Here is a 15,867-nt window from a genome sequence, read left to right as displayed (position 1 = left end):
GCACCAGGAAAAGCGAGGAGAACAGGGAGGGAGCTGAGGGATGTGGGGTGCATGGGGAGTGGTGGAATAGCAAAGCCTTCATTGGGAGTTGGGCTGTGAGGGGCCTTGTGCCAGGGACTTTACTCCAGAAGCCAGAGGGACTCATGGAAGGTTTCTAGCCTGAGTCAATTTGGTTTCAAAAGATCACTCTACGTGAAAGAAGGAAGTGCTTCTTTCTTAGCCACCTTCTTGGGTGGCTGCTGGGGTAACTTAGGGAAGCCATGCTAAGTGCAGGAGCTGAGATAGTGCCTTTAGTGACAGTAGAAGGGGTTAGAGGAGCAGAGGGGATGGAACCTAGACCTCAGCCATTCCCCGCGCTGCCTCCTGGTCCAGTGATCTTTCTCCTACTCCAGGGCACCACCAGCTCTTCCCCCAGAGCCCTCCTTGGCAGAACAGAGTATACAGTCCCTGCGGAACTGGAGGCCCAGCTAGAGATGGAATATGGCATGCCAGAAAGTTCTTTGAAGTAGTGTATTTTGTCTGAAAAAATGCATGCAAATATTTACGTTCTGTTTCAGAAGAGTAGTGCTCCAGGAAGCTGAACCACTTTTTTAACCTGTGACTCTGGTGCCCCCTGCTTTTCTCACTTACACACATGCCAGGCTGGGAATGGTCCCTGCTCCTGAGCAGCCAGTTTGTTGATATCCCCTCCACACACCATAAGATCATGGACGCCAGGCTTGCTTTCTGGAGTGGGAAGCACATGTGCACAAAGCATACCTGTCTGTGTCCTGGAAACACTGCCTTCACTTCTCTTGAGTGAAAGGATTTACTGAATTGGATTTACGATATTTAAATTAATTTTATTGTCACTCCCTTCAAATTCCTTTTTCTTTCCCCACTCTGATAAATACTCAGTTAATTAGCTTTACAGATCAAGAGTTAGCTAGTGGCGGCCGGGCACGGTGGCTCAAGCCTGTAATCCCAGCACTTTGGGAGGCTGAGGTGGGCAGATCATGAGGTCAGGAGATCGAGACCATCCTGGCTAACATGGTGAAACCTCGTCTCTACGAAAAATACAAAAAATTAGCCAGACGTGGTGGCGGGGGCCTGTGGTCCCAGCTACTCGGGAGGCTGAGGCAGGAGAATGGTGTGAACCCAGGAGGCGGGGCTTGCAGTGAGCCGAGATCGCGCCTCTGCACTCCAGCCTGGGTGACAGAGCGAGACTCCGTCTCAAAAAAAAAAAAAAAAAAAATGGAGTTAGCTATTGGCAGGCACAGACTGCCAGAGTCTCCAATGGGACGCCTTGGCTTAATGGTGCTGCAGAGTATTTTGTGCTTTGTATCTAACGTTTCTAAAATTGACAGTAATAGTGAACACTAACTGGCCAGTTGCTGGGTGCTGGACATGACGTTAGGGTACGTTATTTCATTTCTTCATTACAGCAAGCCTGAGGTAGATATTATTATTGTTTCCATTTTATAGATGAGGAAACTGGGACTTGGAGATAGTTTAAATTTCTCAGAGTCCTACATCCAGGAAATGGTAGAGCCAGGATATGATTTCAGGTGGTCAAATCCCAACACAAGAGTTTTTAGCCTTGACGCTGTAGGGATGAAACTGAATCTCTGGTGAACGACTAGAACATAACACTTAAAATCCTTTGCAGCCCCAGCATTTGATGATTTTGTGAAATCTTGAAGAAACAGATTGATTTGGATGAGACTTGATGAAGGATTGTGGAATATCACTATAAAATCCTACTTTTGGCCAGGCACCGTGGCTCACACCTGTAATCTCAGCAATTTGGGAGACTGAGGTGGGACGATTGCTTGAAACCGGGAGCTTGAGACACAGTCTGGGCAGCAAAGTGAAACCCTGTCTCTACAAAAAATGAAAAAAAGTAGCCAGGTGTGGTGGTGTGTGTCTATAGTCCCAGTTACTTGGGGGACTGAGGTAGGAGCATTGCTTGAGCTCAGGAGGTTGAGTCTGCAGTGATCCTGCCACTGCACTTCAGGCTGGGCTGCAGAGTGAGACTGTGTCTCAAAAAAAAAAACCTCTACTTTTTCTCCGTTCTATCATTCTGAGACAAAAGAGTATCAATAAGAATTAGAACTGTGTTTTTCTTTTTTTTTTTTTTGAGACGGAGTCTCACCCTGTCACCCAGCCTGGAGTGCAGTGGTGTGATCTTGGCTCACTGCAAGCTCTGCCTCCTGGGTTCACGCCATTCTCCTGCCTCAGCCTCCCGAGTAGCTGGGACTACAGGCACCCACCACCACGCCCATCTAATTTTTGTAGTTTTTGTAGAGATGGGGTTTCACCATGTTAGCCAGGATGGTCTCAATCTCCTGACCTCGTGATCCACCTGTCTTGGCCTCCCAAAGTGCTGGGATTACAGGCGTGAGCCACTGCGCCTGGCCCATTTTGTATTTTTAGTAGAGACAGGGGTTTCTCCATGTTGGTCAGGCTGGTCTCGAACTCCTGACCTCAGGTGATCCACCTGCCTTGGCCTCCCAAAGTGCTGAGATTACAGGCATGAGCCAGCGCGCCCGGCCTAAGAATTAGAATTGTGGTTTTCTGATTTTCATTGGGTACATGTATAGAAGCTGCGAAGAAAACTTGACTTCGTTTTTCATTTTTGTAAGACACTGTCTCTAACATTTATCCATGCGAGGAACTCTCCCCAGCCTGGAGCTGCAGCCCAGAAACGGCACCCCTGTGTGTGTAGCATGCGTAGAGGAGTTGGCTCCTCCAGGCTGTAGGTATCACCTGCCTCACCAGCCTTGAGTTTGTCTGGAAGGCTCAGTGCCCGTGCAAAATCCCTATCTAACACTACGGGACTGTATTGTTGTTATTTTGTTATGTTTGCAAAGCTGTCTTGCTTGACCCAGGTTTAAAAATGCAGTAGCGGCCAGGAGCGGTAGCTCATGCCTATAATCCCAGCACTTTGGGAGGCAAAGGCGGGCAGATCACGAGATCAGGAGATTGAGACCAGCCTGGGCAACATGGTGAAACCCCATCTGTACTAAAAATACAAAAACTAGCTGGATGTGGTGGCGCACGCCTGTAATCCCAGCTACTTGGGAGGCTGAGGCACGAGAATCGCTTGAACCCAGGAGGCAGAGGTTGCAGTGAGCTGAGATTGCGCCACTGCACTCCAGCCTGGCAACAGAGTGAGACTCTGTCTCAAAAAAAAAAAAAAAATGCAATAACTAGCTCGGTGTGATAGAGTTTGCCTGTAGTCCCAGCTATGGAGGCTGAGGTGGGGCATCACTTGAGCCTAGAAGTTTGATGCTGTAGTGTGCTACAACCATGACCCACCTGTGAATAGCCACCACACTCCAGCCTGGGCAACAGAGAGACCCTGTCTTTAAAAACCAAAAATAATAAAAATAAATGCAACAGTCACTTGAAATTTATCATGAATTGTATATTCTTTCTCATGTGTTTTAGTGGAAATCACTGTTGTCCATGTCATGCTGCTGAAACTCCACTTCATACATACAGTACATACATACATGTATTACAGAATAGCAGTCGTATTCCCAGAGCACTTTATAGTTTTTAAACTGATCTCATTTACATAACTTCCTCATTTGGTCCCTGGTGATCATCAGGATGAGTATTAGTAGTCCCATTTTACAGATGGGGAAATAAAAACTCAAAGGAGTTCATTGACATATAGGAGCACTTGGAAATCCTTCTATCTGCAAGGGCCTTTGGTTTACAATGTCTTATTTCTCTCCTCCACCACCCTCTATGAACTTATATCCAGATTTCTCAATGACACCTGTTGACTCTCATAAAAGTGTTCTTCCCTGGAATTAGGTTCTGGATGGTGGTCACCTTGTGTCAGTTCAGAGCAAAGTTCTGGAAGGTTCAGGGGAGGGCTTGTTTTTTCAGTGTTCCTCCGTGTGATGACTGCCTCCGGGTGTCCTGAGCTTCAGGGTCACTCTGCAGCTGAGACGCAGCACTGCCTGGCTCACAGGGCACTCCCAGTCTTGTTTTGACTGTACATCGATGTCGTCTCCTGCACTGCGCTATGTGGTTTCGGGATGCAGAGTTTCACAGAAGGCATATCAGGCTGTGAATACTCCACCCCCATCCCATCACAAAAACCAGTCCAAGGAAAACACCAAATGCTAATTGAAACTAAGACAACGGCACAAATATTTATGGGGGCAGAAATTCAAACAACACTAGCAAAAACAAAGAACACATTTCAAATTGGTATTAATTAAACAAAAAGAAACACTATGGTATCTAATGTAAATATTTTGTTATCAGATCTGATACCTTCAAATGATTATTACAACTAGGAGGATAAGATAATATAAAATATTTACTTAAAAAAATTAATTTTAGCCATTTGCCTTCATATTGGTCCATGCTGCCATGGAAAAGGCCTGGGATAGGAGTCAGAATAAATGCCAGAAGTAGCTATGTCATTCTGAGCATGTCACCTAACATTGTCCAACGTGGCTTTCAGTTTCCTCAACTGAGAAGAAAAGAAGAGATGAGAGGAGATAAGAAAACAAAAAGAAAGGTTGGGAAAGAGAGGTAGCTCAGCAAATGTATCATCCACAGGGGCTGAACTATGTGATCTCTGATGTACTGGTTTCTATTGGTTCAGAGTGTGGACTCAAGCCAGGGTGCCCAGGTTCAAATCCTAGCTCCCTCATCTACTGGCTGTGTGACCTTGACATATTTCTTCACTTCTCTGCACCTTCATTTCCTTATTTGGGAAACCCAGCCTCACTGAGTTGTGAGCATTAAATTATTAAATATACAAATATATACGTACTGAATAGTTCCTAGCACATGGTAAGTACCTGGGAAATGTTAGGTCTTAGGGTTTTTTTTTTTTTCTGAGACAGAATTTTGCTCTGTTGCCCAGGCTGGAGTGCAGTGGTACGATCTCAGCTCACTGCAACCTCCGCTTCCTGGGTTCAAGTGATCCTCCCACCTCAGCCCCCAACCCGTCTCCCTCAGTAGCTGGGTCTACAGGTGTGCACCACCTCACCCGGCTCAGTTTTCTATTTTTGTAGAGGCAAGGTTTCAGCATGTTGCCCAGGCTGGTCTCAAACACCTGAGCTCAAGCCATCCTCCCACCTCAGCCCCCGAAAGTGCTGGAATTACAGGCGTGAACCACTGCATCTGGCTAGGTCTTAGTATTATTATTAGATAATCTTACTTGGAGGATAAAATAATGTACATTGGAGGAAAAAAAAAGTGTAGAGGACTTCTCTAAGGATTCTGTGTTTTGCCCAGAGTATAAATAGCAGAAAGGAAGGAAACTAATATTTATTAGGTACCTACTTTACGTGTGTGTATGTGTGTGTGTGTGTGTGCGTGTGTTGTGTCTGTGTATAGTATATTTTGAGTCAGGATCTCGCCCTGTTTCCCAGGATGGAGTGCAGTGGTCTGATCATAGCTCACTGCAGGATTGAACTCCTGAACTCAAATGATCCTCCTGCCTTGGCCTCCTGAGTAGCTAGGACTACAGGCATGTGCCATTATGCCTGTCTAATTTTTAATTTTTAAAAATTTCCATAGAGACAGAGTCTTGCCATGTTGCCCAAGTTGGTCTCAAACTCCTGGCCTCAAGAGATCCGCCTGCCTTGGCCTCCCCAAAGTACCTATTATATTTGAAGCTACTATATTCCCATTGACTAGATGAAGGTGGCACAAATGAGGACTGAAAAAATATCTTCTCCGGGAATGAATCCTGTGAAATAAGTATTTTTCTTTCCTTTTCAAGAGAGGAGTCTGAAGATCAGAAAGGCTAAGTAACTTGCTTGAGGTCACATAGCTAGCAATGGCTGAGGGGGGATTTGAACCCCAGTCTCCATGGCTCTGAAGCCCATGCTGCTTCCCTTATGACATACTTTCCAGGAGATTTTGGCCAGGAAGGGCATATTCGTGTGTCCTGCCCAGACTGAGACGGGGCTTTGGCTTGGTGACGGTTGCTTCAGCAGAGCACGACCAGGGTGCTGGTAATTTCACCACACGCTGCCTTCATCCCAGCCGCTGTCGTCTCCTCTCTTCCAGCTGCTACCACCATCCAACCACCCCCTCTCCCTTCCGCGAATATGATCAGTGTCAGGCCAGGATGGGTTTCATATGAGGTTATGTTTCATATGTAAAGTAGTGGACAGATAGCTGATCCTCAGCTGGTATATAAAGTAGGTATTCAATATGTTTGCTTTTCCTTCCTAGCCAAGAAGACACACCATTGCCCCTCCCTCTGTGCTCCTGTCCCGTCTCTTTTGCTCCTTTAACCTCTACAGCAGTGATGCCTGCTTTAGGCCAAAAAACCCAGGTGACTTGGACATTCACGTTCAAGGCACTTCTTTTGCTAGTCACTGTATCAATTATTAAGAATACACAGGTAAATAAAGCATGGCCCCTGCTCTTGGGGAATTCACACATAACTGGGGAGAAATGTCTAAAAATGGTTAAGGCTCATTTTTGCAGGTGCATGCAGAAAGCCAGGAATGGTGGTAGGGGAGGTAATGACTCTGTCTGCCAGAGGACTGGCGAAATCCCACTAGACAATGTGATTTCCCACCTAGAGAAGAGTTCAAGGGGTGAGAGGAAGGGCAAAATAAAGACAACCACATATGTAAAGGCCCAGAGTCATGAAAGACTACAAGACATCCAGGAAGTGGTGAGAAACCACGTGTGTGTGTAGCAAACGGTGCCTGGGGAGGATGTGGGCTGACTGGGAGGGGTCTTGTGTGCAGCTTCAGAGCCTGCAATGTGCCCAGAGGCAGGGAGCCAGAGAGACTGGATGGAGGTGGAATTGATATGTAAGAAGCTCACTCTGGGCCAGGAGAGGTGGCTTATGCCTGTAATCCCAGCATTTTGGGTGGGCGAGGCCGGTGGATCACCTGAGGTCAGGAGTTCCAGACCAGCCTGACCAACATGATGAAACCCTGTCTCTACTAAAAATACAAAAATTAGCCGGGTGCGGTGGGGGGCACCTGTAATCCCAGCTGTTGGGGGCTGAGGCAGGAGAACTGCTTGAACCTGGGAGGTAGAGGTTGCAGTGAGCCAACATTGTGCCACTGCACTCCAGCCTGGGCAAAAGAGCAAGACTCTGTCTCAAAAAAAAAAAAAAAAAAAAGGAAGCTCACTTTGGCAGTACATATGTTTTGAGAATGCTGTGGTGTGGGGATAGATTTGTGGAGGAAAAGCAGTCAGGAGGCTGTCTTCCTAATTCATCTGTGGACTCCAGGGTCTCCTCTATGGTAGGTGGTGGAAGGGACAACTGAAGTGCAATGGTTGAGGTGGCATCACCAGGATTTCGTGACTGGTGGGATGTGAAAACTCAGGGAGGGGAGGCATCAAGGGTCATACGCATGATTCTCCTTGGGAGACTGAGCTGTGGGAACCATTTAACGGAGGCAAGAACACAGGAGGAGTGTCACCGACCGCAGGTTCTTGGGCCCCCATGCAACAGAAGTTGACACAAGGCCAAGCAAGTTCCCCAGACAAGACTTTATTCCAGGTTTATATTTGAACACAAGGGATACAGCACTGGAGGGAGAGTTCTCTGGCTGGCTCCCCAGGGTATGTCTGGTGTTTCTAGGAAGGTTGACAGGCATCTACATGAGCTATGTGAGTGTCGTGACATGTGCAGAGTGGAGCGCAGGGCGCACAGGTGCAGTGAGCAAGCAGGTTAGTACCCGCACCGCAGGATCACAAAATGGCAGCAAAGTCCCTTCCCGGGTGGGGATTTTAGTATTATGATGAGGCAAGGGGTAAAGGTTGGTCATTCGTCTGGTCTTGTGCACATGCGGTCGATAGGGTTAACTCCCGTGAGTAAGATTGACTGTGGGATGCTGTTTATCTTCGTTCCTTCAAGGTTTTGCAGTCAGTGGGGATGGCACCAATGATAGGAGGTGATATAAGATCTGGTAATAGGAGGGTATAGAAAAAAGTGTGTTAGAGGTGGGGGCTGAGTCCTGTCCCTACTCTGTCTCCTTAGTGGGGACAGAGGCCAAGTTCCTCCCTACTCAGGAGGACAACTTTGGCCAGGGGCATAACAAAATGAGGCTTTGATAGGTTAAGTTTGAGGTGCTAGGTGACAGCAATACAAAAACATCCAGTCAGTGGGCCACAGAAAACACAGGGCTGGGGGCTGGGAGAGAAGTCGACCCACTGGCTTATGATAGTTCAAGAAATAGGAACTGATGAGCTTACAGTGGAGAAAATACTGTACCTTGGCAAATACAGTCATTTAAGGAGCAGGTAGAGGAGGAGTCAATGAAAGGGTTAGAGAAAAGACAGTCTAAGAAGAGGAAAGAAAAACCAGAGAATGAAGTGTCCCTGTGGACTGGCAAGTTACCGGAAGCAGGGTGAGACCCAGAGAGCCGACTACCCTGGAGAGGTCAGATAGAGTGAGAACTAAAGTAAGCTATCATCGTGTGAACCCCGAACATCTGAGACAGGTCTCAGTTAATTTAGAAAGTTTATTTTGCAGGGTTGAGGATCCAAGGTTGAAGACGCGGGCCCATGACGCAGCCTCAGGAAGTTCTGAAGACACGTGCTTAAGGTGGTCAGAGCACAGCTTGGCTTTTTTTTTTTTTTTTTTTTCTGAGACAGAGTCTTGCTCCATCACCCAGGCTGGAGTACAGTGGCACAATCCTAGCTCACTGCAACCTCTGCCTCCCGGGTTCAAGCAATTCTCCTGTCTTAGCCTGTCGAGTAGCTGGGACTACAGGTGCCTGCCACCACACCCGGCTAACTTTTGTATTTTTAGTAGAGACAGGGTTTCAACATGTAGGACAGGCTGGTCTCGAACTCCTGACCTCAGGTGATCTGCCCGCCTTGGCCTCCCAAGGTGCTGGGATTACAGGCGTGAGCCACCGTGCCGGGCCACTCGCTATAATTTCACGTTTCCTTTACCTTATGTAAAATGTAGAGCTACTGAGCAAGAGAGGAATGCATAATTGCCATTTACCCCCAACTCTCTTCACATGTAAAGTGTAGATTCACTGAGAGCTAGGCAGAGCCTCACAAGAATGTGACCACTTGCCTCATTGCCCAACCTCTTTTTCCCCCCCTTCTCCTTTTTTACCCTCTTCCCCCCCACCCCCTCCTTTCCCTCCTGCTTCCTCTTTCCCCTTTAGATACTGAAGTCCTCAAAACCCTCTGGAAAAAGCATGGGACACAGATTCTCCTGTGACTTGTATTTCTTTTTCCTGGGCGTATCCTCAACCTTGGCAAAATAAACTTCAAAATCAATTGAGATTTGCCTGTCACTTTTTGATTTATGTTGTGAAGGAAGACAAGCACATGGAAAAGCATGTTAGATATGATAAACGCTATGGTTAAAGGAAGGCAGGGCATGGGTCAGGGCGCAACCACCCCATGGGTTCTTCCTGCCCACTGCAGACAAAACCAATTCACGGAGACCATGGCGTTGCAATAAAGACAGAGTTTAATTGACATGAGGCCGGCCACACCACGTGGGAGATGAAGTTATTATTCAAATCAATCTCCCTGAAGATTTGGAGGCCAAGGTTTTTCAAGGATAGTTTGACAGGCCAGGGAATCTTATTCTAGGTGGGGCCACAGGACCCCTTGGTGGGTCTGGGTGGAGCCACTGGTCCTGAAAAGACATTTCAAAAGGCCAATTTTAAGTTTTAAAATAGTGATGTTACCTGCAGGAGTAATTGGGGAAGTTGCAAATCTTGTGACCTGCAGAATAGTGGCTGGCAGTCGTTTATGTCTACACCTTAGCAGGATTCAGGGTCCTCTCCTCCTACTAACCTGGCGGCCTTTCATTAGCTTTACGAAGGTGGTTCGGTATGGGGAAAGGGCTGTTATCATTTAAGCTATAAACTAAATGTCTCCCACAGTTAGTTTGGCGTGAGCTCAGGAATGATTTAGGGCAATTTGGAGGTTAAAGGCAAGATGGGGTTGGTTAGATCCGATCTCTTTCACTGTCATGATTTTCTCACTGTTACAATTTTTGCAAAGGCGGTTTCAAGGGAAGGCTTCCTGGGGAAGTGGTACCTGACTTGGGACTGGAGAGATTTATAGAAGTTGGCCAAAGAATAGGACCTGAGGTTTCCAGCAGAGGAAATAGCCTGTTTAAAAGTGTGTGGAGGGCTGGGTGCAGTGGCTCATGCCCACAATCCCAGCACTTTGGGAGGCTGAGGTAGGTGGATTGCTTGAGTCCAGGAGTGCCAGACCAGCCTGGGCAACGTGGTGAGACTCCATCTTGACCAAAAAAAAAAAAAAAAAAAACCAGAAAAATTTTTAGCCAGGTGTGGTGGTGCATGCCTGTAGTCCCAGCACGTTCAGAGGTGAGGGAGGCAGATCGCTTGAGCTCAGGAGTTTGAGACCAGCCTGGGCAACATGGCAAAACCCTGTCTCTACAAAAAATACAAAATTAGCCAGGAACGGTAGTATGCAACTGTAGTTCCAGCTACTCAGGAGGCTGAGGTGGGAGGATACCTTGAGCCAGGAAGGCAGAGTTTGCAGTGAGCCAAGATCGCACCGCTATACTCCAGCCTAGGTGACAGAGTGAGATCCAGTCTCAAAAAAAAAAAAAAGAAAAAGAAAAAAGAAAAAGAAAACAGAAAAGAAGAAATGGGCAGGTTTTTTTTTAACAGTGTTAAATTTAGTTTGAAGCTGTTTCCTTGTAAGTCTAGCCTAAAAGTTTCTTCATGCATAGTGAACTGTAACCTAATTGGATGAGTAAACAGACTGTAATGTACTCTTATACCAACCACCGAGTTTCAGCCAATCACAGGCAGCCAACCGTTCAAATAAGGCAAACTCCAAGCTGTAACCAATCTGGCTCTTTCTACACCTCACCTCCGTTTCCTGTACATCACTTTCCTTTTCTTGTTCTTAAATCCTGTCCAACCACGCAGCAACATCAGAGTCTCTCTGAACCTATTCTGATCTGGGAGATTACCCAATTCACCAATTGTTCATTGCTCAAATAAACTCTGTTATATTGCATTTGTCTGAAGTTTTTCTTTTTCTTTTTTAAAGACGGAGTCTTGCTCTGTCACCCAGGCTGGAGTGCAGTAGCACAATCTCGTCTCACTGCAGCCTCTGCCTCCCACGGTTCAAGCGATTCTCCTGCCTCAGCTTCCAGAGTAGCTGGGATTACAGGTGCCCACCACCATGCCTGGCTAATTTTTGTATTTTTAGTCGAGATGAGTTTTCACCATATTGACCAAGCTGGTCTCAAACCTCAGGTGATCTGCCTGCCTCGGCCTCCCAAAGTGCTGGCATTATAGGCGTGAGCTACCATGCCTGGTCCTGAAGTTTTTCTTTTAACAACAGTTACATAAGGACCAGGCCGGTCTTTCCTGACCATAGCAATCAATATTTACTCTGGTATCAGATGGGCAAAACAGCAGAACATTCCCCCATGCTTCCTTGCTGGCTTATGCATTTCACCCTGAGGAGTTCCTAGTCAAGCTGGTCAGAACCCTTGCCTTGGCTCTCCAGAGCAGATGCTGCCCTGGGACTTCTTTCCCCTGGATTAGAGTTGGGACACCTGGGCCCCATCTGTGTTCTGCAACCAATTCTCTCTGTGAATATGGGCAAGGCACAACTTCTGTGTCTTCATTTTGAAAATGAGACGCTGGGCTACACTGATCCCTGGGGATCCATCCATACCCAACATTTGGCAGAGATATCAGATGAAAGTCTTTTATAATTATCTTGTTTGTCCTCACAACCTTCTAATGGAGTGAACAAGTTATTAGTAAAAGCTTTCTGTTTCAGGAATTCCTTTTGTGAGGTACTATTAGATAATCTGATCTCTCTCGCTCCTTTCCTGTCTGTTTTCTTCCTGGCCCTGCCTTTCCAGGTTGAGGAACGAGGAGGAGGACTTGGTCTTAAGTTGGACGCAGCTGTCTGTTTAAGAAATCATCAATGACGCCATTCGGCTTTAACAGGATTCCTTTTTCCTCTCTACAAGAGCCAGGAATTTCCACTTGATAGTTTGTTCATACCTTCTTAGGAAAATCCCACTAAATCACTGCAGCTCAGTACAGAGAAAGAACAACACGAGCTAGGAATGGGCTACCGTTCCCTGATTATATGATGAATAAATCAAAAAGAGTTGTGAAAGAAACCATTAATTTAAGCCAGAAGAAAGCTGGGCAAGTTATAGACTGCATAAAAAAGTATAAACTGCAAAATACTCATTTTTGGAAATACCATTGTAGACTATTACAGCCAGAAGAAGGCCGGGCATGGTGGCTCATACCTGTAATCCCAGCGCTTTGAGAGGCTGAGGTGGGCAGATCATCTGAGGTCAGAAGTTTGAGACCAGCCTGGCTAACATGGCAAAACCCTGTCTCTACTAAACATACAAAAATTAGCTGGGCGTGGTGGCATGCTCCTGTAATCCCAGCTACTTGGGAGGCTGAGGCAGGACAATCACTTGAACCTGGGAGGCAGAGGTTGCAGTGAGCCAAGATCACACCACTGTACTCTAGCCCGAGCAAGAGTGAGACTCCGTCTCAAACAAACAAACAAACAAAAAAACAAAACCAAAAAAACAGCCAAAAGACAACTTGAAAATCAATGACCCTATCTTTTTTATAGATAAGGAAATTTAAGACTAAAAATAAGCTGACTCACCCTAGTTTGCAGCAATATTATTTGGTCTTATGTTGGGGAGCTGTGACATAAAATGACAAATTAAAAAGAAAAGCAAATTTAAAACAGAAGTCAGCAAACTTTGTCTTAAAAGGCTAGATGGTAAATATTTTTGGCTTAAGGGCAATACCCTCTTGGCCATTGTAGCAAAAGCAGCCATAGACATGCAAACAAATCAGCATGGCTATGTTCCAATAAAACTTCATAAAAATAGGCAATGACACTAGGATGGCTACAACAATTTTTTTGTTTGTTTTTTGAGATGGAGTCTCACTCTGTTGCCCAAGCTGAAGTGCAGTGTCACGATCTCAGCTTACTGCAACCTCCACCTCCCGGGTTCAAGCGATTCTCTTACCTCAGCCTCTTAAGTAGCTGGGATTACAGGTGCACGCCACCATGACAGGCTAATTTATATATATATATTTTTAGTAGAGATGGGGTTTCACCATGTTGGTCAGGCTGGTATCGAACTCTTGACCTCGTGATCCACCCGCCTCAGCCTCCCAAAGTGCTGGGATTACAGGCATGAGCCACCGCGCCTGGCCTTTTTTTTTTTTTTTTTTTTTTTTTTTTGAGATGGAGTCTCACTCTGTCACCCAGGCTGGAGTGCAGTGGCTGAATCTCGGCTTACTGCAAGCTCCGCCTCCCGGGTTCACGCTATTCTCCCGCCTCAGCCTGCCGAGTAGCTGGGACTACAGGCACCCGCCACCATGTCCGGCTAATTTTTTGTATTTTTAGTAGAGACGGGGTTTCACCATATTAGCCAGGATGGTCTCCATCTCCTGACCTCGTGATCCGCCCGCCTCAGCTGGATTCCAAAGTGCTGGGATTACAGGCATGAGCCACTGCGCCCAGCCCAACAATTTTTTTAAAAACAGGAAAATAGGTGTTGGCAAGCATGTGGAGAAATTGGAACCCTCATTATGTTGCTGGAGGGGATATAAAATGGTGCAACCTCTGTAGAAAACAGTTCGGCATGTCCTCAAAATTTAAACATAGAATTACCAAATTGTAAACGAAATGCTAGTTAGTGGCTCTCTGAATGTGCAGTCTCGTTAACACGAGTGAGATCTGACACAAAAAAAGTGAATTTATTCCGAAGCTAGCTTGGAGAAGGGGCACAGAGTGTCCTGCCGTTAAATGTGCCACTTTGCTTTTAGAGCAGAAAGCAGGTATTTTTGATAAGGCAAGGGAAGACACGAGCAAGGGCAGGGGTTCCCCTAACTTGGCATCTTATTTATGGGGGCAGTTGAGCTGGTGCCTTCCTGGGTAGAAGTAAGTTGTGAAAGTGGCCAAGTGGGCATGCTTTCCATATGCCCTCTTGGTGGATTAAAGTTCCAAGGCAACCCCCTGACAGTGAAAGTTTCATGGCAGGTATGCTTTTGTTTTCTTTCTTTCTGAGACAAAGTCTCACTCTGTTGCCCAGGCTGGAGTACAGTGGCACAATCTCAGCTCACTGCAACCTCTACCTCCCAAGTTCAAGTGATTCTCCTGTCTCGGCCTCCTGAGTAGCTGGAATTACAGGTGTCCACCACCACACCCGGCTAATTTTTATATTTTTAGTAGAGACAGGGTTTCACCATATTGGCCAGGATGGTCTCCAACTCATGACCTCGTGATCTGCCTGCCTTGGCCTCCCAAAGTACTGGGATTACAGACATAAGCCACCGCACCTAGCCATGGTATACTTTTGTTTCCAAAACACCAACGATTTGGTCTCGGTCCTGCTGGCCTCCTACACGGGAAGCCAATGACTGAGACAACAAGTATTGCTAAGAGAGAAGGCTTTAATCGGGTGCTGTGGCCGATGGTAGCTCAGTCTCAAATCCATCTCCCTGACCCACTAAAATTAGGGGTTTATACAGCAGGGAAGAAATGTAACAATGTGCGAGAAAACAGGAATTCTGGAGGGGTAAGGAAGCAATTATGATTAATGAGGGGACTGGAGCCCCATTGTCTAGATAAGATGATCTGGTGAGTTTCAGCTCTTTGATACATTTTGAGAGTTCTGCCAGTCCTTTTCTGAGGAAGGAACTCAGATAAAACAAACCTAAGTTTCAAGCTTTAAGACCAGAAGGGTCAATTTCTATGTTTATCCAAAAAAACTGTTTATGGGACTATTGGGTCAGTTTCACTTTGGTCTGAAAGTCGACTGTCAGCTCTGGAGGGGAGATCTGTCTTGGAGAACACAGAATAATTTGCCCTGTGTGGAATGTCTGGTGAGGGGAGAGGTGAAAGGTTATGTTTGCATTTTTGAAGGGCTCAGTAGGACATAGGGAGCTGGGGAAAGGAGAAAAGAAGAGAGAGAGAGAAGGAAAAAAGAATAATTAAACCACCTGTAGAAAAATGGGAGTCCTTGGTTACAGTATGACCTATCAATTCTACTCCTGTGAATATATCACAAAGAATTGAAAATGGAGACTCAAGCAAGTCCATGTACATGCAGGTAGTAGTAGCGCTATTTACAATAGCTAAAAAGTGGAATTAGGGCAGATGCCCGTCAGTGGATGAATGGATCAGCAAATTGTTGTGCAGCTTCAGTGTCCCTTATCCAAAATGCTTGAGACCAGACATGTTTCAGATTTCCAATTTTTTTTTCAGATTTTAGATATACATATAGAGTATGAGATATCTTGGGCATAGGACCCAAGTCTAAACACAAAATTCATTTATGTTTCATATATACCTTATAGCCAAAAAGTAATTTTATACAATTTTTTTTTGAGGTGGAGTTTCGCTCTTTTCACCCAGGTTGGAGTGCAGTGGTGCGATCTTGGCTCACTGCAACCTCCACCTCCTGGGTTCAAGTGATTCTCCTGCCTCAGTCTCCTGAGTAGCTGGGATTACAGGCATGTGCCATCACACCCGGCTAACTTTTGTATTTTTAATAGAGACGGGGCTTCACCATGTTGGCCAGACTGGTCTCAAACTCCTGACCTCAGGTGATCTGTCTACCTTGGCCTCCTAAATTGCTGGGATTACAGGTGTGAGCCACCGTGCCCAGCCCTATACAGTATTTTTAAAAATATTGTGTGTGACACAAAAGTTTTACTGTATTTTGACTGCAGCCCATCACAGGGGTCAGGTGAGGAATTTTCCACTTTTGTTGTCATGATGGTGCTCAAAATGTTCAGGATTTTGGAGCATTTCAGATTTGGGATTTTGGGATTAGAGATGCTTAACCTGTATACACATACAGTATAATATTATTGATATGGTTTGGCTGTGTCCCCATGGAAACCTCAA

At 46.0% G+C, this 15,867-nt stretch overlaps 1 annotated feature.

Annotated features, from left to right (window-relative positions):
- Positions 10,717-10,786: an enhancer, noted in NCBI's record as "active region_13143". NCBI's record gives its function as "activates an Ori minimal core promoter by ATAC-STARR-seq in GM12878 lymphoblastoid cells {active_cell/tissue: GM12878}" and the evidence as "EXISTENCE:reporter gene assay evidence [ECO:0000049][PMID:35858748]".

Source organism: Homo sapiens, chromosome 18, assembly GCF_000001405.40.
Source record: "Homo sapiens chromosome 18, GRCh38.p14 Primary Assembly".
NCBI lineage: Eukaryota > Metazoa > Chordata > Mammalia > Primates > Hominidae > Homo > Homo sapiens.
This window is presented reverse-complemented; position numbering and strand designations above follow the sequence as displayed.